The sequence below is a fragment of the Homo sapiens genome, chromosome 7 (assembly GCF_000001405.40).
Source record: "Homo sapiens chromosome 7, GRCh38.p14 Primary Assembly".
Classification (NCBI taxonomy): Eukaryota; Metazoa; Chordata; class Mammalia; order Primates; family Hominidae; genus Homo; species Homo sapiens.
The window spans coordinates 86676562-86702597 of NC_000007.14; the positions used below are offsets into that span (position 1 = coordinate 86676562).

The 26036-nt window shown below is 34.5% G+C and overlaps 1 protein-coding gene across 4 annotated transcripts in view, besides 1 other annotated feature; it reads left to right on the top strand.

The window, feature by feature from the left end:
• GRM3 (glutamate metabotropic receptor 3) overlaps window positions 1-26036 on the top strand; it is a 220971-nt gene that overhangs the window by 32653 nt on the left and 162282 nt on the right. The window lies entirely within an intron of this gene.
• Window positions 9000-9079: an enhancer, noted in NCBI's record as "active region_26222". NCBI's record gives its function as "activates an Ori minimal core promoter by ATAC-STARR-seq in GM12878 lymphoblastoid cells {active_cell/tissue: GM12878}" and the evidence as "EXISTENCE:reporter gene assay evidence [ECO:0000049][PMID:35858748]".

Sequence of the window (26036 nt, forward strand, 5' to 3'; positions counted from 1 at the left end):
ATCAGTGACTAAAATATGTAAAAGTTATCTATGTTCAAACATTAAAATGGGCCCGATATTAGCCTCTCTTTTAAGAAGATGTAAATAATCACTAAAAATCATAAACATAACTACAGCAAATTTATTTGGTGAAAGAGTAGCAAAATTTGGGAGGGTAAGCATAAAGGAAAAGAAACAAATACTGTAGGAAGTTGGGCAATAATGCAGGCCATATATGTAGATGAAGTATATGAATAAAGCTTTTCCAATGGACCCTTAAACAGAGGTGGGGTAAAGTAATGGTATTTAACCATCTTTTCATCTGCTATTATAGAGACTTCTTTTGGCCAAATTAGAGGATTGAATATAGTCATGCTTTGATTTTTGGTTATTTGTACCTTTTCTACAGTTTAGTCCTTTACAACAGTAGGTACCAAGGCCTTAAATCTGCATTCTAAGCCTCATATAGTCTTTAAGCCAATCTTAACTGAGGCATATCATGTATATTAAATACAAACCCACCAGTAGCCCAAAATCCAGTGTTGGTATAACTGTTTGGAGCCCTAGGCATCTATCTACCTGCTTTATTATCCCTGAGTCTTCATTAGCCCACTCTGCATTTTCTCATTTATATGACTTGACTTCCACTTAATTTCCATTTATCACTAAAGGCCTAATTAGAACAAGATTCCTAGCTTAAGCACTAATCCACTTGGCACCTTGACACCTTTTTAAAAAAATGTCTGTTATGAGAAGTAGTTCCAGAACTCTAGATTTCCAGTTGCCAGCTGATGTCCTGCCTAAGTCTAATAAGCTGATCAGAACCACACTACTCTCCCTACCATCATCTTCTGGAGACCTTCTTCCCATCACCTGACAAAACCATGTTTTCTACTTCCAGATTTCTCTTTGACCTGTTGGCTTTCTGCTGAGGTCAAGCATATTTGGTCACCAAACCTGTGCAAGATATGTCACTGTGCTATTAATTTGCTCTTTTAGAAGCCCAAAGAAAAGTAACATTTACCTGAAAACAAGAGTATCATGAAAGAAAATTAAGATTTTTATTAATTCTAAAACTTATTAGTTTCAATTTTCAGTCTGGCTAAGAAGGAAGAACTTACTAGGAAATTGACAGGTGGCTTGGGAAAAGGTAAATATGCCCACCTAGCCAAATAAGTATAATCTAGCAAAGATTTCTAAAAGTTCAAAAAATATCAAGGAGACTTTAAGATGGGAGAAAATGGCCCGCAAAGAATGGGAAACTAAGATTAAATTATAGCTAATGATCACATGAGAAATAATAATCTAAATAAATTATCGGAGCTGGTTAAAGAACCATCTGATAAGGAGATTTGAAGCATAAGACTATTCAACACAATTTTACTTGTAACAGCAAAAAAATTAGAAGAACCTAAATTTCCCAAAAAGGAGACTAGTAAATAAATTGAAATGTAATAAAGTATTTTGAAATAATTAAAATTTTGTTCTATAAAAATATTGGATGTCATGGGAAAAAATCTTACAAAGTAAAACTTAAGGATAGAAATATGAATTTGGTTCTAACTTTAAAAAATATACCTGCATAAAAATGAAGTATATTAGACTATGAATAGTTATTTCTAAGTGATGGAATTTTTATTTTATTCTTTACACTCTGATATCTGGTTTTCAAATTTTCTTTAGTAAATATATCTTTCATAAACAGAAAAATGATTAAAAGTCACCTACAAAAGATAGATAAAGGAGCACACAACTATGAATGTCAGAATTGCAGAAGAACTCAGGATTATGAATAATGCTAAGAAAGATGAAAATAATTTTTAAAGTTATATTTAAAACAAGAAGAAAAGAATAGGCTAACCCCCATTCCTGCAAGGAGAAAAAGTTACGTTAACGCCGCCTCTCTTTTTCTGTCAAAGCAAATCACATTGGAAGTAGAACACATGTCTTAAGGGTGATTCCACGGTGTCTAAGAATACTGTAAAGGAGCACATAATTAAATGATTTTATGTCTCTAAGCCCAAGGGATTTATATGCTAGTGTTTGGAAGGAATTTACAGATATAATTATGATATTTCAAACATGATATCTGAGAAATCATAGCAATTAGGAAAGGTGAGAAAAATCTGCACATGGACAAGTACGTATCCAGTTTTCCAACAAGGACATCGAGATGTGTTAATGAAACTGTAATCTACTGATCCTAACATTATTTCCAGAATGGACCTTTAAGGAAATTTTGATCCCTTAGAAGGTAATACAGAGCTCTTGAGTCAACATATTTGCAGTGTAAGGCATTTCTGCTTTCATGATAAGGTTAGTAGTTAGTAGATCAATATTTTTTCCAGGGTGAGAAGGCTATGGTACATGGTTTTTAGGCTTCTAATTCTGAAATTTTTTGATAGCAAGGGTTTTTGTGATTTCACATAGCTTTTGGAAAAGTCTTTTTTTATCACTATGGTCAAGATAGACTGTGTAGATTGATGAATAGGATAGAAGTACATATTAATAGCTAGGTAAATGGCCGTATCGTATTGATTAATATGTCATGTAACCCTTGATTCATCTTTTTCTCTGCAGTGATTTGCCATGGAGCTGTAATCTCTTGTCTGACCATCTTATTAGTGATCAGGATAATGAATACATAAGTGACAGGCATATCATATCTGTAGATGTGATGAATTTGTAGAAGGAAATATTTAAGTAAATGAATTTGGGTTATAAAAGATTTTGATAAGTTATGCGATAAAACAATATACATACACAAATATATTTTGATTAAATATAAAGAACTACACTTTTAAAAGGAGTAAGTTTGACAAATACAGGAAGAAGAAACCACCTTGTTAGCATTTCCTGTGGGGAAAAAAGACCTATTAATTTTCATTATCTGTAAGTTCAATATAGCTAAAATCGTTCTGGGTGATCACACTGAGTTATTCAGAGGAATCGAGGATAAAGGGGAATTAGCCACTTAGCCTAATCCTACTATACTCACATGGGAAAATAAAATTAAACACAGCCAACGTTTTCAAAAGGAAGAGAGATCTCTTTATTATGTACATCAGACTAGGAAGAAAATAGGAGTATCTTCATTGGCATCTGCCGCCCACAACCCATTCCTGTCCTCATTCCTCCTCGTTCTCTCACTCATCCCCTTGATCATCTCCATCAGAAATGGAGTCTTTTCTATGGGTCCTTTTTCCCCACAGCTCATACTTTATTGGGTCATTATTTCCAAAACCTGCCCGGGGAGGTTTGTTACCTAAAAATAAGAATCATTTCAGTGGCTATATCAGGATACCCAGTACAGAAAAATTTCTAATTTGTTCACTCAGAGCCATGAATTTAAATAAAAAATATATTCAACATGAACTTTGTTTTCTTTCTTGTTGTTTACAAATAAGACAATCACAATATTCTTTAGGAAATTCTCTATAATCCAACTGGAAAAATAAATCAAAATATAGACTTGTCCTTCACTAATTGAAATCAAGCGTGCAGAACAAGGAATGTACCAGGTGGTCTGACTGTCCTTTGCAGTATTCCATTGCTTTGCTAGAGTATGCTGAGAAGTTCAGCCTGTCACATTCTGAAAGGCACATGAGGTTCTAGAAATGAGCAATCATGATAAAGCGCCTAGGAACCACAAAGCATGAGGATTACTGAAGGGACCATGGGTATTTTGAAAGAAAATATTTAAGAGGACTACTAAAATTGGAATAACATATTTTAGGACTCAGGATGTGTATTTATTATTGCCTTTAGTCACAATATTTCCAAAAGGATTAATTTGTGTTAAAGAACAAAACTCATAGGGAAGTTGTGAAGAACACTTTCAGACAATATGGCATACCTTAATAAAGCTCAAATTTCTAGTATTTTGTCCTGCAGACACTGGGACAACTAACACTACTACCTCTATCTTCCTAAGTTTCACCTTACCTCCACAGTTTTTACTATAGGTTGCCAGCTGCCTCTACTATGCAAGTGTTGGGTTTTCTCTTCCCATTTTAATACATCTCACTTTAATGCGCAATACTGGACAAAAGGACATTTTGTCCTTAGTACCCTATAGCATAATTTAGACAAATTCAAGCTTTCAGTAAGACTTTGTTAAACACTAAATGATTGCAGGGGAAGAATGATCCCAGACAGTGCAAGAACTGTATAAATAAGAAGCCCAAGTTTCAGAGCTCACATAGCTGACTTGTTCTTAGAGCTCCCAGCCCCTTCCCATTTCACATGCTCTCAGATATTAGCTACACTTTAGCCACCAAGGACAAACACAATTTCATAGGTACTTCTTTTTGACCTCTCACAATTCCTAAATCCTGGCCTGCCCACATGTAATGTACCATTCCCCTTGGCAGCCCAAATCAAGAGAAACTAAGTTCTTTCTCTTCTCCAGCTAGGATCTCTCTTCCTACTCTCTGGCCCAATCCACAATATAGTTCAATGTTCACATATAACTTAAAGCAGCACAATTATCACAGCATTTCTATAGCAGGATTAACAACACACCCACACAGTAAATAGGATGATTTTCTTCTCACAATATTTGCAAACACTTGATGAGAATGTCTACTATCACTCCTTTTATTTAAACTCGTACCGTAAGTCCTGGCCAGCATAATAAGACAAGGAAAAGAAATAGGAAAAAATGTCTTCAAACAATTAGAGCTGTAACAAAACTGATACAGCAACTTCATCAATGGAGTTTTTCAGCATAAGTGATGGAACCCACAATTCAGTGTCTCAGAGGGGATCTCCATACTGGCCAAGGGGATTGGGCCATCTAGGTTAATTTTAATATGCCATCAGTTTCTAAGATTAAAAGATACTATATCTCATTCACGTTTTCTTTTTCCTCTTTTTCTATATCATGTCACATTAATGAAATTAAATAGAAAGAATAAGACATTAACTGTGTCCTAGCATTAATAAGGAATGAATATGCTCTTTTTTCAATGTGTCTACATTATTCATCAATGGCTCTGTTTTTTAATTTAGCAAAGACTTTGGTGGCTGGGGGGTGAGGCGGGGTGTGGAATTCATGCCAACAGCAGCTGGCAATCATGAGCAGATGGAGCAACTATGCCTGAGGAAATAGTATAACGTCTCTGGTATATATTTGAATGCTGAGGTAACATCTCACATATGGGTTTTCCTGGTTTGAACCCTATCATCTCTTCATACTCTTATATTTCATCTTCATGATTTCAACAAGCACAGAAACACTGATAAAGATGAACTAAGTGTGGAACTAGTCTTGCATTTCAAAGAAATAATAACCCACTTAAAAGTATAAACTTAGGTTGTATTCCTGAGAAAAAAAGTTCTTGTGATATGTGGGTGGTGTATAATATTCACATCCCTGTGTTAGAAGTGAAGATTCACAGGTACTGACAAAGCAAGCTTCGTAGATCAGTTACGTTGCCTAAAGTATATACCCCACACTTTCAGAAGTTAATTCATTAATTCTAACATGGGATTCCAGTGTTGGATTTTTCAAATAATCACATGGAGAGGTTAAACAATTCTTATCCTTAAACAGTGCATTTGCAAAGCAGAGAGAAAATAACACCATCGGATTAAATAGACAGATGATAGACCGACAGACATATTTTTACAAGTTTTTCACAGTACAACTTAGTTGTTTCCATAATTTTAATTTTTCCTTCACAAAGGATCATAAGTATGTAAAATAAAAATGTCAATAGAGCAGTATTTGATATTATTTTAAAAATTACAGAAGTAAAATATGGTACGTGTCATAATCTTGTACATATATTATTAGCACTTGTATTTTATGCGAATGCCACTGCAATACTAAATAATCCAGCTTGTAGGGTTCCAAGTCTATGTACCCAGTAAGATAAAAATAAATTACAAAGAAAATGATGACCACTAGATTCATGTTAGAGCATACTTAAGAGAAATTCTGCTTATTTATTATCATTGGTTTTACATTATGTTTTGGTTTACACTTGTATTATTTTTTGTTTGGAGATAATTCTGGCAGAGCAGTGATGAAAATTAAGAAATAAAAGGTGTATTGCCATGAAGTAGAAAATCATCCAGCATGCCCCAAATCTTACCAATTTCAATTTTCACATTAAGAGAGGTGAATTATTTCTTCTCAGCCTTATTTTTAGTTACTTTTCAAGCATTTTTTTAATCCAATCATTCAGCAACTATTTATTGAGCTCTTGCAATGTGCCAGAGAATGAGCTAGTCATTATGGTTCAGAGATAGAAAGCAAGATTTCTTTTTTCAAAATATTCTTATAAGAGTGAATATGCCAAGGAACAGAAAAGCACAATTCAATATGGACAGGACATTGGTTTGAAACAAAGACAGGCAAGAGATAAAGTAGAGAAAAAGAGGCTGTCCATAGTTACCATGCTGAGGGGCTTAATTGAATAAGAATTAAGAGCCAAGATATTGAAAGGGAGAGCATTTTCAGATTTGAACTGAACAAATCATTCTGGACAGCAGTTTGAAAACATTGGATCACAAGAAAACAAGCCTGAAGTCAAGGAGACTCTGAGGTGATCTAGATGAGCCATGGTAGGTTTTGAACTCAAATAATGGCCATGAAAATTTATGGGAGCAAAGAGGTTGAAGAACTATCTCCTTGACTATGACAGAACTTCATGACTGAGTAGATGTAGATAAGCAAGGAGAGGAGAAGAGGAAGGAGTCAAGTGGCCTGGGTATCTGGATGGTCCTGCTCTTAACATTCACTGCAACAGAACATGTAGGAAGAGCTGAGAGTCTGGAGCAGAGGAAATAACAAGTTCAGTTTGAGACATGCTGACATTAGAGTACCTGTGCACCACAAAGATGGAGGTATGTTGTACACATCAATTCAGAGCTCAGAAGAATCTATTCATTGAGGAGACATCAGCACGTGGACCATAACTGAAGTTATGAGATTTCATGAAGTCCTTCAACAGGTCCTATGTGAGAGGCAGATGTCAGGAGATTGAATACACTGAGGACTCCACTTTCTTGCCTAAGAGAGCCTAAAGAGTATCCAGAGAGATTGAAAGTAGCCAGGATAGCATTGATATCACCGACACCAAGGGAAATGAGATCTTGAAAAGCCCCTGCTATGTCACAGGCACCATGCCAGACATGGTGGGGACCCATTAAGGAATATGTCTCTGCCTTGAAGGAGGTCTTAAGACAAAGCATATGCAAATTTAATCACAATATGAACTGGAAAGTGCCAGGTGCCTTTAATAGAAGGTTTAAATAAGAGTAGGGAACAGCCATTTCTATATCTAGTACAAAAGTGATACTATAGAGACTATTATGTGACACATGATCATGGTGTACAGTTTATATGGTATCCTACAAGTCATAAATGACCACTTTCCCAGGACGGTTTTTTAATTATCACAACAGAATGTAATCTCTCCCTCCTTTGAAGCTCTAAATATTATATCTCAATCAAGGTATGTATTGCATTCTTTTTACTATTAGATTTATATTTGCTGGGGATTTTTTTTTTATCCCTTTACAAGATTGTAAAGTTCTTCGTGGTCTGAAACTGTTTCTTACCCTCCGGGAACTGCCACTCCCTCCCCGAAGTCTTAGACCCACACCCTGCAACATTATAGCCTTGCTCTTGGAGTCATTTAGTTTTCGGCTCAAAGCCCATCTCAGTCACTTGCACAGCCCTTATCTCCCACAATGCACAAATTATGAATGTCCACTAAGCCACACAGTTTCCTCAACTGAAAATAGGAGTAATAATACATTCCACAGAGGGCTGTTGCATTAAATGTGATAATGTTTATAAAACTACCTAGCACATTATTTGGCACATGGTAAATATTCAATGATATTTTTCTTTCAATGCACAATGTAGTAAATAAATGTCTACAGAATAAACGATTTAATGAATGATCAGATGGCAACAAGTCTATGTTTCTAACCAATTTTCAGACTGCTTTATGATTCTCGAAACTTTCACAACCTATATAACTAGTAATCTTCCATATCCTTAATTTCCCTCTTTCCCCTCAAAGCTTAAAATTCTAAGAAAATGTGTCTTCCATTATCCCTCTTGCTCTTTAGCAGTATCTGAAGAATATATTGTAAAGTGAACTTAGCAAAATTTCTAGCTAGTGTTAAAATCGAAAATATGGTAACAGTGTTTAATCACAGAATCAAGGAATAATGACATCCTATTCTTCAAGAATTCAGGTTAATTAAGATTTCACTGAATATTAAATAAAGAGTCCAACAGCCGGATTTTAAATCTCATCTCTGCCACTTTCTAGCTTTGTGACCATGGGCAATTTATTAGACCTCCCTGTGCCTCAGTTTTCTCATCTGTTACATGTGGATAACAAGATGACCTATATCAGAGAGATGGTATGAGGATTAATTGTGTAAAGTACTTATAGTAACTGAGAAAAAGGAAGCATGCTATCCATGTTATCACTAATTACTTCCTATTTGTTTGTTCAGACTGTTACTTTTGTTTTCTTATAGATTGAAAATTGTTGCTAGGTTCAATTTCTCATTATTTAAAATATCTCAATATCCTCATATTTGCAGCATGACTTCCATCCTCAATTAATGAACTACAAAAAATGAAATAGAAAACAGTTAAAGATGTATTGAATTATCTGAAGTTTTTCAAGTACCAATTAAAGCACCAAAGACAGTTGGTATGGCATACATTGTTCCCTTAAAGGTATTCCTAAATAAAGCTTTGAGAACATAGTAAGTTTTGTTTTTTTTAAAACTGCTGTATCATATTACCAGTAAAACTTACAGATTGGTTTCTAACCAGAAACAAAATAAGTCTATGTAGACAAGGCATCATCGATTAGAAAAAACAGAAAAGCAAGCCCTGGTGTTCTTAGTGAGAACCTGAAACAAGCTCTGGCACCTGTGTGTGTGAGCAAGTGGGCTTTCTCTCTTGCTCAAGATAAAGGACATTCACTTTCGAAACAGCATGATGTCACCTTAGTGTCAGACAGATCTGGATAAGCAGCCAATGTGACCTGAACTAGTTCATTCTCCTTTCTCAGTTTCCTTATCTATAAAGGTATAAATGGGGGCCGGGCACGGTGGCTCACGCCTGTAATCCCAGCACTTTGGGAGGCCAAAGCAGGTGGATCACAAGATCAGGAGAAAGAGACCATCCTGGACAACAGGGTGAAACCCCTTCTCTACTAAAAATACAAAAAATTAGCCGGGCATGGTGGGGCGCACCTGTAGTCCAAGCTACTCACAAGGCTGAGGCAAGAGAATTGCTTGAACCAGGAGTCGGAGGCTGCAGTGAGCCGAGATCGCACCACTGCACTCTTAGCCTGGGCAACAGAGAAAGACTCTGTCTCCAAAAAAAAAAAAAAAAAAAATACTAATAACTACACCAAAGACCACTGTGGGAATTTAATGAGATAATACAATTAAATCCTTGAGCACCGTATCTGGCAAATAATGAATGCTTAATATATGTAGCTTAAAATAATAATTATCAGTTTAAATAATGAGCAAGATAGATTAGTTATGTCAGACTCTCACACTATAAACCATTAAACCCCTGGACAAAATATAAAAACTGAAATTGAAGTCTCTAAAGAACTATGAAAATAAGCAGCAAATTAAGCGGCTATGATCCTAAAGGAAGACATATGCTTTCAGTGGGTATTTCTCCATAGACACGCTCCAGTTTGGCATGGGAGAACAGAGCTCAATCAGAATGAAAGTCTCTTGCTTCACTGAAGAGACAAATATAAGAGTTTAGAGCTGCCAGAAAAGTGAGAAGGGGCAAAATTCAAGCAAGAAGGTAGCCCCAGATGAGGGAACCCTAAAACATGGTTCCAAAATTTTTCTTGTGTGATACACAGGGCAAAACTCCAAAAAAGGAAACAATATAAATCACCAGGGGGTTGCAAAGATATTTCAGAGACGTTTTTAAGGAAAAACAGTTTAGTATTTGAGTGCCTCAAAATTACAAAGGTTTGGTAAAAACTTCAAGCTTTGAGTTGAGAGTCTATAAAGCCTCACTCAAGTGTAAGGGCAAATATTATGTAATCAGCCCTAACAAAGACTAAAAGCAACCAACTAAAAGATCAAGATAAAGCATTACTGCTATAGCTGACAAAAAACAAAACAAAACAAAAACTTGATATTTAACTTGTCTATAATATGCACATTGATTCAAAACATACAAGGCTTGCTAAAAACAAGCTCATCAGCAAATAAAAGAAACGCAAAAAATAGAAACAGACACCTAGGTATTTTAGATATTAAAATTATAAAATATATTTTTAAATAGCAATGATTAATATATTCAAATGGATAGAGGAAAGAATGGAATTTCAGTGGAAACCTGAAATTCATAAATGCATCAAACTGAAATCCTGCAACTGAAAATATAAAAATTGAAATTAAGAATTTAGTAGATGGGTTTAATAACAGATTGGAAACATCAGAATAGATAATTTAGTGAACTAAAGACATGTCAATAAAAAGTGCTGTGATTAATCCCTATAAAAGAAAAAGTAGAAAATCTAGGAAAAAAGTCAGGGAAATATAGGATTCCATGAAAAGCTCTGATATACATGTAATCAGAGCACTAGAAAGAGAGAACATAGAATGCTAGAACATAAATGATTGAAAAATACTGGCCAGAAATTTTTCAAAATTGATGAAAAATGTCTGATTTTATAGACATAAGATCCAAAAAGCTGTCCAAACACAAAGCACAATAAAGGTGAATAAAACCACACTTAGGGACATTATGGTAACATTATTAAAAAACAAAGCAAAGAGCATTTAAAAAGTGCCTGGGGTGTAGCCAGGGTACATGTTATCTTCAGTTTAAGAAAAACTAATTTTGACTACCAATTCTTCAACAGAAAAATAGGGAAACAAGACAATGGATGGATATACTTAGATTCCTGAAAGAAAAAAATAATATTATCAACCTAGAATTCTGTACAAGTAAAAATATTTCTCAGAAAAATGAAAGCAAAATAGACATTTTCAGAAAAACAAAAGCCGAGAATGTTTTTCTGGGCAGACCTACACTACAAGATATACTAAAGGGACTTCTTTAGGTTGAAGGAAAAATGATCTCATAGACATATAGAACTTTAGGAAACAGTGGAAAAGAAAAGATAAATTTTGGGGTAAACGTAATTGCATATGGGCTAGTAAAACAATATATAATGTCTTACAGAATTTACAACATGTAGAAATATATTGTAAGGCTAGTACAAAAGGTCGAAAGGGAATGATGAAATTAAATGATGTTTTGCATGTTTAAATAATAAAAATGTATTGTAATTAATAATGTAACACTGAGGAGTAATAAAATATAAAATTAAAATCTAAAGATTTTAAGGTACAAATGTCATAATGTAATGAATAAATAGGAAGCCAGAAAAGAGAAATAAAGGATAAAACAGGATAATGTATTAATAGCAAGATAACATGTTTAAAAGAGCTGAATCAGTGATATTTAAAGTAAATGGAGTCAACTCTCAAAATAAAAAAAATCTGCATTTCACTCTGTTTAAGTATATGAAAACATAACATTTTACACCTCGAATATAATTTGTCAATTACACCTCAAAACTGAAAGAGAATTCTAAGCAAGTAAAAAATAAAATTGTACCTAAAAACACAGAATTTGTCAGACTTGAAAAAAAATGCAGTTTTATTCTGTTTACAGAAGTAACATTGTAAGCATATGTATGAATACATAGTTAAAAAGGATAAAGACAAAAATAAGTCTACCATATATTAACAAAAAGAAAAATTATGTGGTTAAATTAACAGTGAAAAAAGTAGATCTTAAGTAGAAGTGCAAAATATAAAGATGTACATTTCAAAGTCATAAAAGGGTTAAGTCCATAGCAAGCTATAAAATCACAAAGTTTTCAATACCTAATTAGCACAAAATTTAACTGTATAAAGCAAAAAGTTGAAAGAACTAAAGGAGTCATATACAAATCTACAATCATAGGCTATGACCAATTTCAATAACTAATAGAAAAAGCATACGAAAGAAAAGGATACAGAAGTTTAGAATGACATTAACCAAACTGACCTAATTTGGCTTATAGAACATTATATCCAACAATTGCAGAGCACTCTTTACCATGTATATCATATATATATATGAGAAATATGATATATATCTCTTACATATATGATATATATATATCGTATATATATATCTCTCACATATATAATATGTGATATGAGAGATATGATATATATCTCTCACACATATGATATATATATATATATATGTGTTGACTTTTTAAGGGTTTTAAAATTAAAATGAATATCCTAAGTCTTAGATGTTCACAAAGGGTTAAGGAATACAAATTTTAAGTCATTCTTTCCAAGGCTCTGGTGTCACGAGACATAGTCTTGGTCAATTAATTTATTATATATTAATTTATTATATATTAATTATATATTCAAAACCATGAATTCTTAGGAAATAATTCTGAGTCATTGCCATTATCCTCATCCTGACAGATATTGTAAGACTAGTACAAAAGGTCGAAAGGGAACCAAGACATTAAATGATGTTTTGCAAGTTTAAATAGTAAAAATGTATTGTAATAATGTAACACTGAAGAGTAATAAAATATAAAATTAAAATCTAAAGATTTCAAGGTAAAAATGTCATAACATAATGAATAAATAGGAAGCTACACTATATAGCTACACTATATAGAAAGTTGCCACAAACTACTAAGCTCCTGAGGTTAAAATGTGGGGCAGCGAGCAGTAAATAGATAATTCATTTATTCTACAATTAGTCCCATTTTCAGACAAATGTTATCCTATTGTAAGATTAAATAAAATAATGAAATACAGCAGGAAAATAAATCATAAATAGTAACAAGAGCCTAAGGATAAATTCCTAATGTAAAAAGGAATAAGTTATGTCTCTTTATTCTCAAGAAAGTGTTTCCTTACCATGTAACTTTGTCTTTGAAGGTTTTGAAGCATAATAATTCTGCTGAAGCAGCATAATGTTAATATTTTGCACTTATTTAGAGAAACAGTTTGGGACAGATGTACTAAAATACAAATAGAATTGGAAAAAAATATAAGATACTGGCCAATAAGAATGTGAATAGCTATAAGAAGTAACTTTTGAATTAAAAGAAGGATACTGATAAGAGCAATAAGAATTATTTTACATAGATGCCTTGATGGACAAAACATTACAATATAAATTAGAAAATTTTGAAGTTTAAACTTATTTAACTTTCTCTAAGAAGTCCATCATTGGTCTATTAGATTTTCATAAAATCCCCTATATATTTGCTTATAAGTAAATTTTTGCTTATAAATAATTGTAATAATATCATTATGGACTATGCCTTGCAAATACATCACCCATTCCTTCAGCAATCACTCACTAAGGGTCTTTCCTATTCTAGGATTGAGCAAAAGGCTGGAAATAAAATGATGAACCAGCTTTGCCAGTGAAGTAAATAAAATGAAAGTAACAGAAATAGAAGGATAAAAAAGTTTCCACGACAAACAATGACAGGCAAGGGGCCTGTTTTAGACAGATGGGTCCTAGGGGCCTTCACTTCGGAGGTGATACTTAAGTGAGAAGAGAATGGAGAGTTCCAAGTAGAGGGATCAGGCCTGGAGTTAGGAGGGAAATTACAGTTTCCAAGAACTGAAAGAGGCCTGTGGGACCTGAGCATGTAGAAGCAAAAGGAGTGGAACAGATGAATTTGGTGAGGAAGGTGAGGTCTTGATGCCAGGCTGAGGAGCTTAAATTTTATCATAATACAATAGATGGCAGTTGAAATGTTCTAAGAAGAGAACAGACATGATCTGCTTTATATTTTAGGATTTCTGCTGGTTGTTAAATAAAGAGTGAATTTACAAGAAATAAGAGGTGAAGTGAGAAGATCAGTGAGAAAGTGAGAGATAATGCTTGCCTGGACTGGAGTGAGCCTTCACCATGAAATTAAAGCAGACATATGTGAAATACAGAGGTTGGAAATCTGCCTTACTTATGTATTGTGTATAAGGGGTTCAGGGGCAAGGGAGAAATCAAGATGATCCCATAAGTCTATCTGGGTAGATAGTGACACCATTTACTGGGATTGAGAGTGCTAGTAGTGAGAGAACAAGAGAGAGGACAGCTTTGCCGAGTGGGAATCAAGAGTCTTGTTTTGGATATATTATACTTAAAATTTGGAGAAAAATGTTAAATTTAAGAATGAGGAGGTTTGAGGGGGAAGCTTGAAGAAGTTATCTGAACACATAAGATGAGAAATCATTCTAGGGATTTCAGAAGACATCATGTATAAAGAGCATATTCATAATTATAGATATTTGTTATGTTTAAGATTTGCCTGGTTGTTGCAAAAATAAACATCTTTACCATAAGGAAATTTGCCAAAGAGGTATAAATTATGTCTAAAATTAACATAGCCAAAACAGATCTTTTAAGTTTCTTTAAAAATTCTGCTTTTCCTCTACTACCATTTCCTAGTTGCCCAAGCAGAAATCCTAGATTCTTCTCTGAATTTCACACTCCCTAGCCATTCAATCTTACATTCCCTAGTCATTCATCAGCAAGTCTTATCCTTACCTCCAAATCAGATATAAAATCTAAATAATTTTCATAATTTCCACCACTACAACCTGCCCAGGTCATCTTGATCATTGCCATTGCCTGGATCTCTTTACCATCCTCCTCATTTGTCTTCCGGTTTCTACCTTGGCAAATTCTCCCTCATACTCTCACACACTGCATTCTCCATTAAGCAGCCAAAGTGGGCTTTTTTTTTAGCATGTCAAAGCATATAATTTCCTAAATGCTAAAACCATAACTCTTATGTAAATAAAGAAGACATGTCAAAAATGTTTAACTCATCAATGAGAGAACCACAAGGATTGTAAAGCTAGTTCAAAGGATAATTAAAGAAATAGGGCATATAGGAAAGGCATATTAAAATAAGTTTGTTGAGTGCCATGGTTGCATATGTCCCTCAAAACATGTTTTGGAAACTTAACCCCCAAAGCAACAGTGTTGGGAAGCAGGGCCTAATGAGAAGTGATTAGACATTAGAGCTCTTGTGAATGGATTAATAATGCCTTTACCATGGGAGTAGATTTGTTATCACAGGAGTGGGTTCCTTATGAAAGTATAAGCTTGGCCTCCTTTTGCCTCTCTTGCCCTCTCTTTGCCCTTCTGCCATGAAATGACTTAGCAAGAAGACCCTTGTCAGATGCTGGCACCTTGATCTTGGACTTCCCAGCCTCCAGAACTGTGAGAAATAAATTTCTTATCATTAAAAATTAGCCAGTCTACAGTATTCTGTTATGGCAGCACAAAATGGACTAAGATGCTAAGAGACAAACTGATTAATGTCCTACAGGCAATAAAACTGTAATCTTCAGAGTTATTTTCTCTATCTTTTCTGCAAGTTAGAAATGATTTGCCTTTCTAACAGACAAAATCTACAAGTTAACATGTGATTTCACAGAGTCTGGGCCCGAATCAAAAATAAAGTGAATGTCAAACAAAGGTACTTTCACCTAGAGAATTAAATAATCCTTGGAAAGGCCAATTAGACAATGTTCTAGTGTAATAAAGGATGACACACATAGCCATACTTTGGGCTTGTTTCCAAGTACATAATAAGTGTTCTCAACAAGCATAAGTCAGTTTCTAATCCTCTGTTTTCAAACATTTTTTCTCTTAGAATAACATACAAATTTTCTATCATAGACTATAGAGTCTGTCTACATAATCTGGCCCTTAACCATCTCTTTGACTCTCTCTTTTTACTATCCTTGTCAATCATTATGATCCTACCACACTGATCTTGCTGTTCTTCAAACATTCAAGGTTCTCCTTCAGACCTGTTAGTCTTTTCTCACTGCCTGCTGCTATTATACCAGATTTAGCAATGGCTTATGCCTTCACGTCATTCAGTTATTTGCTCAAATCACACATATCCACCTATGCACCTGCCACATCTCTCTCTCTCATCACTTTGCACTTTTCTACATAGAGCTTATAGTATGACCCAATAGTATTTCTTTATGTGTCTACTTGTTTTTATTGACCTCTTTTATTAGAATATTAAGGAATTTTTGCCTGTTTTATTCTTGAAGCTATCTCTGGTATTTTTAACAGTGCCTGGTACATACTAGGCACATAAAATATTTTTTGAATTAATAATCAAAGTATATAAACACTAGCATCTCAAAGTGAAAATGTTGTTTTCTTAAAATAGTTTCTGATTTTATTAGAGAAAAGTATTAAAGAAGTAATTCAAAAAACCAATAGTAAAGCAGGTGTCAGGTATGGGGCTCAGGACATGAAAAGACATTTTATTTTGGAGAGGAGGGGAAGGCAGCACATCAGTTCAGGACCTACAGACTGGACAGATCCGTCATGAAATGGCAAAAAATAAAGGCAGTTTTCAGATGCTGGTAATATGAGCAGGTCCAGATAGGTGGATTTTTGTCATCAAAAAGGATTGTCTGGCAATAGGTAAGTAATGGATATTATAGAGGGTGAACACGGAATAAGGTTAATTGGAGGGCAGACCACTATCATTCATTGATAGCTTGCTCTATGTGAGACTCTATACCAGGCACTTTACCTATGTCATCTCATTTAATCCCAATCAAAACCCTTTGAGGCAAGTAGTATAAGACTTACTTTTAAATAAGGAGACCATTTCTTCAGGAAGTAGAAGTTGCATACAATTAGTAAGTGGCAAAGCCTACCTTAGGACATGGGTCAGTTAGAAGCCCATGCTCTAATACTGATCTTTGCTGCTCCCTAATGCCTCCCCACACACAAACATAGCAGGAGATAGGTGCTCAAGTAGGAAGCTTTAACATGAGTAAGCCCACCTAAAGATTGCAGAAACAAAGACACATGGACCAGGATTCAATAGAAGAACTCAGTGAAACTGGGTGATTAAAAGAAAAAGGACACGCTTCTAGCTAACAAATCATCAGGGCCAGGAAAAATGGCCAAATCGTAGGAAAATAAGAAAACAGGATCTTAAATTCTATGGAGACAACATTCTTATGTTTTTAATCATAATTACCATAATGTTAACCATAATCTCATGGTGTGAGAGAGATTATCTCAGGTAGCAGGTTATCTCGAAAAGAAAGAGTCCAAAAAGAGAGCTAGAGCCGAGCCGCTGTTATAGAAACTCAATTCATTGCAATGAGTATTTATTGAACACCTTCTCTTTACAGAATACTGTGTTAGATCTGGAAGTACCAGAAAGTAAAAACTATCTCTTCCTTTGACCACGGAAGAGCTTTGAACTTGAAGAGCACAGCATTTAATAACTGCATTGCCTATTTTCAACTCAGGTTACACTGGAAATGAAAGATAATCTCCTTTTTACTACAATTTCATGTTTCATACAGGCAACTATGTATTAAGTTCATAAATCACTTCCACACTATTAATTCCATAGCTTTTCATTAACACTGGGTTGTAGAAGACAACTGAATGTTAACTCAGTATGGACTGTGGAGGTGAGAGGTTAATTCTGTTTGGATTGACACCAGAATTATTTCCCTCACTTAGATGCATACAGTTTTGAAAATAAGAATGGGAAATATCTCTAACAACTGACCAAATAACTCACTCAGAAATGAAGTACAAACTCATTCTTAAAAATCAAAGAGAAAGGCCGGGCGTGGTGGCTCACGCCTGTAATTCCAGCACTTTGGGAGGCCGAGGCGGGCAGATCACGAGGTCAGGAGATCAGACCACGGTGAAACCCTGTCTCTACTAAAAATACAAAAAATTAGCCGGGCTTGGTGGTGGGTGCCTGTAGTCCCAGCTACTCGGGAGGCTGAGGAAAGAGAATGGTGTGAACCCGGGAAGTGGGGCTTGCAGTTAGCCGAGATGGCACCACTGCACTCCAGCCTGGGCAATAGAGCAAGACTCTGTCTCAAAAAAAAAAAAAAAAAGAAAAGAAAGAAAGAAAAGAAAGAAAGAAAATAAAAAAAGAAATCAAAGAAAACCGAACCTCATTCTGATTTCTCTTACAAGTTTGAGGGAAAAAAAAGAAAGACAAAGCATTTAATAAATTATATAAAAGGTATTAAATACTGATCCATGGTATATTTATTTTAAAGTATCTGGTTTCACTTAACAAGTGACTTTTTTATTTGGCCATGAAAGTTAGGTCATTTTTCAGGTTCTGCTGTTTTCCTGAGGAAAATTGCTAATGCCAAGACAGCGCTTATTGTTTGACAAGCAACACAATGACTGGTGCTCTATGGATTGAAGGAGAAATAACTCTTATTTTCGCTTCCTCACATATTATGTTGTTCACAGTCTACTTTCATGTTAATTCTTTTCAGAGCACTTCTGTTGGGTAATGAAGGAAGATCAAGGGTTCCCTTTCAAGACTACAAAGTTAATTACTGCAATCAGAGAGCATTTGCAATAGTGGTTTGTACCAATGCTTATCAGGCCCTTAAAAGTAGTCATTTGCTTGATTCCTGGACAAATCACATAAAATAAAGGAGTCCATAAATGTACTTCAATTACCTTCCTGATTTATTTATCCCTTTCTTTCTCAACTGAAGTTCATTGAACTGTAGGCAAAAAAAGACAATGAACTGTGGTAGATTAAAAATAGAGAAGTTGTCATGGAAAATGATCCATTTCCTTTCTCCTATAAATAGATTTAAGATTTTAGAAAGGTGTTCATTATGAAAAGAGTATCTGATTTGATAGCTTCTTCAGCAGATTCTGCTTCAATTCTGAAAATTAAAGTTATATAATCCCTAGAATTAAAATCTTTCCATAATGTTCAGTTTCGAATATATATATTTCTTATATCTGATATAGTAACACCAATATAGGGAATAGGATAAAGAGGCCTAGAACCTAGTCCTGCTGTTATTTAATTAGCAACTTAATCTGTAACAGGTAAATGCAGTCATCCACTCTATTAAGGCCAAACATTAAAGGACGGGAAAGCTGAGCTTTTGCGTCAGATACCACATGGCTTCAAATCATGAACTCCCGTTTACTTGCTGTGAAACTGCAAGTAAGTTACTTAAGGCTTCTAAACTTTAGTTTCCTCAACAAAAAAGTGAAAGTAACAATGTCTACCTCAAAAAACTATAAAGAATATTAAAGGAGATAATATTAAAGGAGATAAAGTGTTAGATAATTTTCTAACACTTACTAGGAGTTTTTAAAAGGTGGCTAGCTTCCCCTAAAACTCACAATATCTAGATCTAAGGAAGATGTCATTTAGACAATGATGGTGCTTTTTTAAGTTGTAGAAAAGCAAAAATGTAACTCCTAAGAGACAATGATATCACTCATGATGAATAAAACTTTTCATATAAAAATATATTATCTGGAAAGGTACAGTTTACCTTAGCTTTTACTGATAAATAATAAACCAGTTGCAGTAGGAGTTCATTCACTTTGTTTCCTGTCAAAGGTGGCTAACCAATTCTTTCTGTAAACACTTGCTACTCCTCTACAAGTTAATTCCTGGCCTTCTATTGCTTTCTAAACATGCCTGTTTCCTTTGCACCAAAGTGCTCAGTCTGTCTGTAGAAGGCTGAATAATGCCCCCTATAAAAGATGTTCACCTCCAAATCCCCATAATCTGCAATTGTTACCTTGTCTGGCAAAAGAGACTTAGATATGATTAAATTAAGAAAGAGTGATGGGAGATTATCCCGCATTATCCAAGTGGGCTCAAAGCAATTACAAGGTTCCTTATAAGAGAGAAACAGGAAGGTCAGAGGTAGGAGAAAACAATGTGACAATAGTAAAGATTGGGGGGATGAGGCCATATGCTAAGGAATCCCCAAAACCTCTAGAAGCTGGAAGAAAAATGAAACAAATTTTCCCTTACAGCCTCCAAAAAAGAGGATAGCCCTGCTGACACTGGTTTTAGCCCTGGACTTATTTCAGACTTATGATCTCCAGAACTGCAAGAGAATAGCTTCATATAATAATTTCTTACACCACTAAATTTGTGGTAATCTGTTAAAGCAGCAATAGCATACTAATATACCATCAGTACCTTCTATGCTGTTGATAGCTCATCTGTTTTATAAAGGTGAAGAGTATTTTCTGCTTTTGGTTCTTCTGTAGTAATAGTGGTGGTGGTGGTGGTGGTGGTGGTAGCGGTGGTAGCAGTGGTAGCTCCTGCTACGTGTCAAACACTGGGTTAGATGTCTTACCCACATTGTCTCTTGTGCTTTCCCAACTCTGTGCTATGAGGGAACCTCTCTTAAACCCATTGTACAGATGAGACAACTAAGACCAAGATTCCAACCCAAAACTATCTGTTGCCCAAGCCCATTGTCTTAACTGCTCTACTATTCTGGCTCTCTTGACCCTATCTCCCATCTTTTCTCCCTTGTTCTCAGATTCCTATCCTATTGGGAATATGGACGGTAAAAGATGTCTATTTCTTATAGTTTCTTAAAAAGCAGGCTCTTCTAGAGAAAGAATGCTTTGACTTATAGGTATGTGTTAAAAGAAAATAAAGCTATTAAGAAACTGCCTACATAGAGAAGGAGAAGGGAAGTAGGAAAAAAGAGAAACAAATAGGGAGGGAATGGGAGAGAAGAATCTTTGAAACCACATACCCAAATTCGTTGTCTCCTAACACACAGGGGCTTTGAAAGTTGAGAACATCTTGAAGAGAGGAAGAGAAGTAAGGACAATTATAGTATACAATTAAACAAAAGCAAAAAAAAAAAAAGATACAAATATACATGGTTTGTACACAGAATCAGTGAAAAGACCAGCCTGATCCAAGGCTCAAATCTGAATTAGGAAAGGATGGAAAATATTTACAATAATAAAGCAAGGTCAGTTTTTGGAGACACTTAACTGTCAGGGAGTGTTCAGACCTGGTTTGTCGGAGGATGGAAAAGACTTTGTTCCTTAAGAGAGAATTACGAAAAACAGAGAAGACATTTTTTCTGAAATTTTTGCTTTTTTTCCCCACGTTATCAATTTTCCTAAAAGTGTAAGTTTAGAATTAATTTCAAAAGGAAGGTAATTTTCAGAAATGTTGACATAAGTCAATAACCATTCTAAATTTTTAAGTTTATAACCTAGAGGTAATATTACTAATTTTGAAATGATTTCCCTAAAAAAAAATTGAAATCCCTTTGCAAACTTACTTTCACAGACTATTTACGGTGTATTACATATTTACTCAGCTCTAAGAGGCAATAATTCCCTCCCTGGTGTTCTAAAGCTCTTCTAAAAGAGATACCAGAACCCATCTCTTGTGTAGGAAATGTTTGAAGATGGAAAAGCAAGGAACTGACGTGCTGACTTGAACTCTTTTAGCTACTTTATCTCTGTCTTCTCATTAATCCTGAAAATCCTATGGGGTAATATTTTTAATCTCCATTTTATAGATGAAAACTCTAAGACTCATAAGACTTAAATAAGTTGACTGGTCTTACAGATATTAAATAGAAAACAGTCTGAGCTACAATGTTGTCTATTCATGGGCAAGGAATTAAACTGAAACAGACATTTTAACAATAATATCCTTTTACCCGTCCATTTTCTATAGCAGCAAACATTCCAATTACATGGAAAAAGCAACTGAACTGGGGGATTTACCAAGGTTTCAATGTCCTCACCTCTTTGAATCAAGTATTCCTTGACATTCTTATGACAAAGAACAACTGTGCCTGCAACACAATTTGCTGTTAATAGTCTGAGAGTAAAGGATCCCTCAAAGAACCCTTTCAGAGAAATCTTATTAAAGAAGTCCCTTCCTTAAAAGGTAACTTAACTCTTTGTCTGGGGCTCAGTCCTTTGGATGTTAATCTGACTGGGCCAGTGCACCTAAATAATAAATATCCTCCTCAACCCCCCACCACAAATAGAAATGTTTCCTCCCTTTCCACAGCCCTTTTACCTGGTATAAAGAGTCCCATGTCTAAAAAGTATTTATATATATATATATATAAAATACACATTATTATTATATATATAATTATATATATACAATACACACACACACACATATATATAAACACTATAAAAGCTTGGAACCCCAATGCACAAATGCACAACTTTCAAGTTCAATTTTCTATTTAAAAACTGGAAAAAGTGGTGAATGTCTGCTGAGATGTTAATATCTGATTAAGACAGAGAACAAAATGGGTTACCCATGTGAATCTGAAAAGCCCTTAAGAACACTTTCCCAGAAAAGGGCCATAGCAGCAGTAGCTGCCTCATCTGAGTGTCATAAGCCATTTCCATTTCACATTCCATCCTGTCTTCCTCATTAAACCACGTGTCTTAGACAATTTGAGGTTTAGAAAAACATGGCCCCACTAGCAGTATGTATTGTTACTAGGAAGCTGTTCAGTTTTGCACACGTATTGATGCTATACTCCAGAGGCTATACTCCAGAGAGGGGTGACTAATGAATTTCCCACAAGCCTCTGAAGATCTTAAATCACATGTACAAAACCAGAGATTTTAAAGTAAAAAATTATAGTTTAACCATAAAAAAGAAATACAGGGAGAGAAGCCATTAGATTGTTTCAGGAACCAGACGTTTGAGCTTATTAATTAGGGAAGATTGAAATCCAGAAAGAGAAAATTCACTGAAATCGGATCAACTACCTTAATAAAATAAATTCTCTCAATTTATTTGAATAGCAGAGGTTAACACCTACCAGCTTATGTAGGAAATTAGAAACAATACCTATTAGCTTGAAATTTTCTCTATCCACCCCTTGTGAGTTATAAGTCAATCCAGATGCAGAATCTGGATGGTTCCTGCACTGTTTATTGTGGTAGTTAAATAACTTGGCAATTATTATTCTCAATGGCTATTCCTAAAACATCACCTTCTTTTCTAACTTTATTGTATTTCCCATTGATGGACAACACATATTGATAAGAGCAATTAAACTTAACACTAGTCATAAGAAGCAAGCAATATTTTTAAAAAGCACAGAATACCTACAAGTCATGGTATTATAGGGAACTTGTGTTTTCTTCTTAAAATATTCTTTGGTTTTCCACATTTTGAACATGTCTTATTTATTCAATCACAAAAAGTTTTAGCATGAATATAAATTATACCTTCTATCACATACTGAAATAGAAAGCCAACCGATCTCAGTACAGATTTCATCCAGAAATTAACAAAATGGTTTTGAAGTAACTTGGTCAAGAAGAAAGTTCATTGCAGAGAAAAAGTTATGCGTCACCAGATGAGGAGAACTAGCTTTTCCCAGGAGGTAAAGGGGAAATAAAAGGTCACACTTGTTATTATCACTATCCTTGCTCTGGGATAAGAAAAACTTGACCTGCATCCATGTAAATTTGATAATTTTGAGAGATCTTAATGAATGTCTATTCTACAAAGATCTCTGGTTAATGAGTCATTAAGAGGTAACCCACACTAGGCTTCACAGCATGCTCGTCTTAAACTTCGTGAATTTTCCACAGTCCAGAGGCTGGTAATATTCCTCAGATATTTCCAGCACATTGAGAACAGAACCATCTGTCAGTGAGATTGCCATTAACCAAGCTCATGAAACTGATATATAATAGTCTGAATTCCATTTTATTGACTTGCAATAAAAAATAACGATCTTAGAGACAGGAATACCTAAATCTGCATAACTAGCCAACTACTTATTTTAGATGGATCTAAACAGGAAGCCAATTCATAATCAAAAAATAATTTGAAAAGCATGAAATTACAACTGAGAGTTAAAATTAAGGGAATTCATTAAAAGGCAGTTTTCCAACACTCTCTGAAAGCCCTTTGGTTTCTGTTAAAGCATTCAATATGGGAGATTTTATTTCTGATTTTTAATTGCGAGGTGAAATGAGAGCCTACAATCTTACTTTCAAATTCTCGGAAGAAGCCTCACATCAGTCCCCAGCTACTAACCATGACTTTCATTTTTTCACTGTAATTTGCACTGTATTTTAATTAATAACCCTACACCTGTCTTGGAATGTGTTTTCTACCTTCTTTAGCATGAGCAAAAATTGCCCCACACTATTATTACTGAAGTCAGACAGTTATCTTAGTTATGTCCCAATATCTTTACACAGAAAACAATTAAGGAAGCCAGAAAGAGAAATACTATGCCATATCAGGATCCTATTCCTGATGTTTTACAGAGAATACAAGTCATTTATATAAAAATGCAATGTGAATGGGGTCAGTTACTTAAAAGAAATTATTGTTTCTGCTGTCATGTGTTCTACTTGGTGGCTGGAAATGATAAATACTAATGTTCTGAGATAGACTTATAAGCATTCAACTTACGTTAATAGCATCAGTACCATTAACTTACCCTCTACTAATTAGAAACGTATCATTTCAAACAGATTAATTGATGTTCATTGTAATTTTAATGAAAGTCTAAATTTAAATATTCTACACTTTTAATTTTTCATAATCCCAAACATAATCCACATTAGCAAGGCTCTACTACTGTTTAAACCACAATTGCATTCTGTTATCCAGAATTAAACTGGAAAACACAGATTTCCATTAGTACTTTTTTTTAATAACAATAACCTTTAGCCTAATAAGAAACTAAATACAACCTGAAAAAGATAAACGATGTCCAACCGAAGAATATTTTATTACATTTTTATATATTGAATATCATGCATGGTAACTATTAACTAGAATATTATAATAACCAGAATAAACACCTGCTAGTCTATTAAGTAAAATAAACTTTACTGTACTTGAGAAGTTATTCAAAACAATAAATTTAGGGGTCTCAACATAGAATCCTAATATTACAGGTAAAAATCTAAATTATTTTTTAGAAAGTATGACAAATTCCTACTGGCAGAGATATCAATAATAAAAAAGTTGAGAAATCTCTTCTGATAGTTTTAAAGATTAAGGCATTTAAGTTTGGTTTCATTATACAATGTTGCTAAAACTGTTTCTCCCTTATTTTCAACATATATTTCCTTTGTTTTAAACTAAATTGAAGTAATTCATTGTGAATCATCCATAATTTGCCCACCTATTAGATTTTATTAAATCTAATTTATTCAAAGGGTAAAAGATATCCAGGTGTAACTACTCAAACTTATTTATTGACCTTCAAGTTTCAGACCCAAAAGGAATACTCTTATGGGAAACAAAAATTCATACATCTATAAATATTTCATAATTTCTAAGAGTGGCTTTTTTGAGGGTATATAGGCTAAAGCTGAGGCAAGGGTTGGCTTCCCTGAATTTGCAAGTATCATTCATTTTATGTAAAACTGATACAATCTCATATTTCAGAATTTCCCATGCATATGATTGTCACATCAGACCTTTACAACAATACTCTTAAGGTAAGCATATCAGAGTCAATCCCTACTTCATTACACTAAGGAAGACACTGACAAGCAGAGAGATTCAGTGCTTTGTCAAAGACCACATGCCAGGAAATATCTGAGAGCCAAGACTAGACCTACATCATCTTAAGAAGTCCTTTTTTATTTATTTATTTCGTTGTACACATGTACCCTAAAACTTAAAGTAAAATAATAAAAAAAGAAGTCCTTCTTAAAATTCTCATTCTATTAAACAGAAGATACTAAGCTTACCTGAGTGTAAGTGTGAGGCCATACAACAGAAAATGAAAAGGAGACAAATTCCTTCCTAGATAATCTGGGGATTATCTCAGTCCTTCACTTTACTCCTTGTCTGAGACATCATAGCCCTGTGGATCATCAGGGTTGATCAGCCTGGCTGGTTAGTCCTGCATCTCTTCATCCCTTGCTGCATCTTCTATGGACAGAGTGAACAATGTTCTTAAGCCAGGCTTTCCTATGTAGCTGCATATCCCTGCTAGATGCCCACAACAACCAGCTCTATTTAAAATCACAGAAAACACAGGGTTATCACATTTTCAAGAATCTAAGATTCTAAAGTAGTGCTTCAAAGAGTATATGGCTTATATTCCAATGAGATTCTGGAAAAGATCAGAAGTATGAGCTTAAGTTCAGCTCTAGAATCCCTAAAAGATCCAATTAT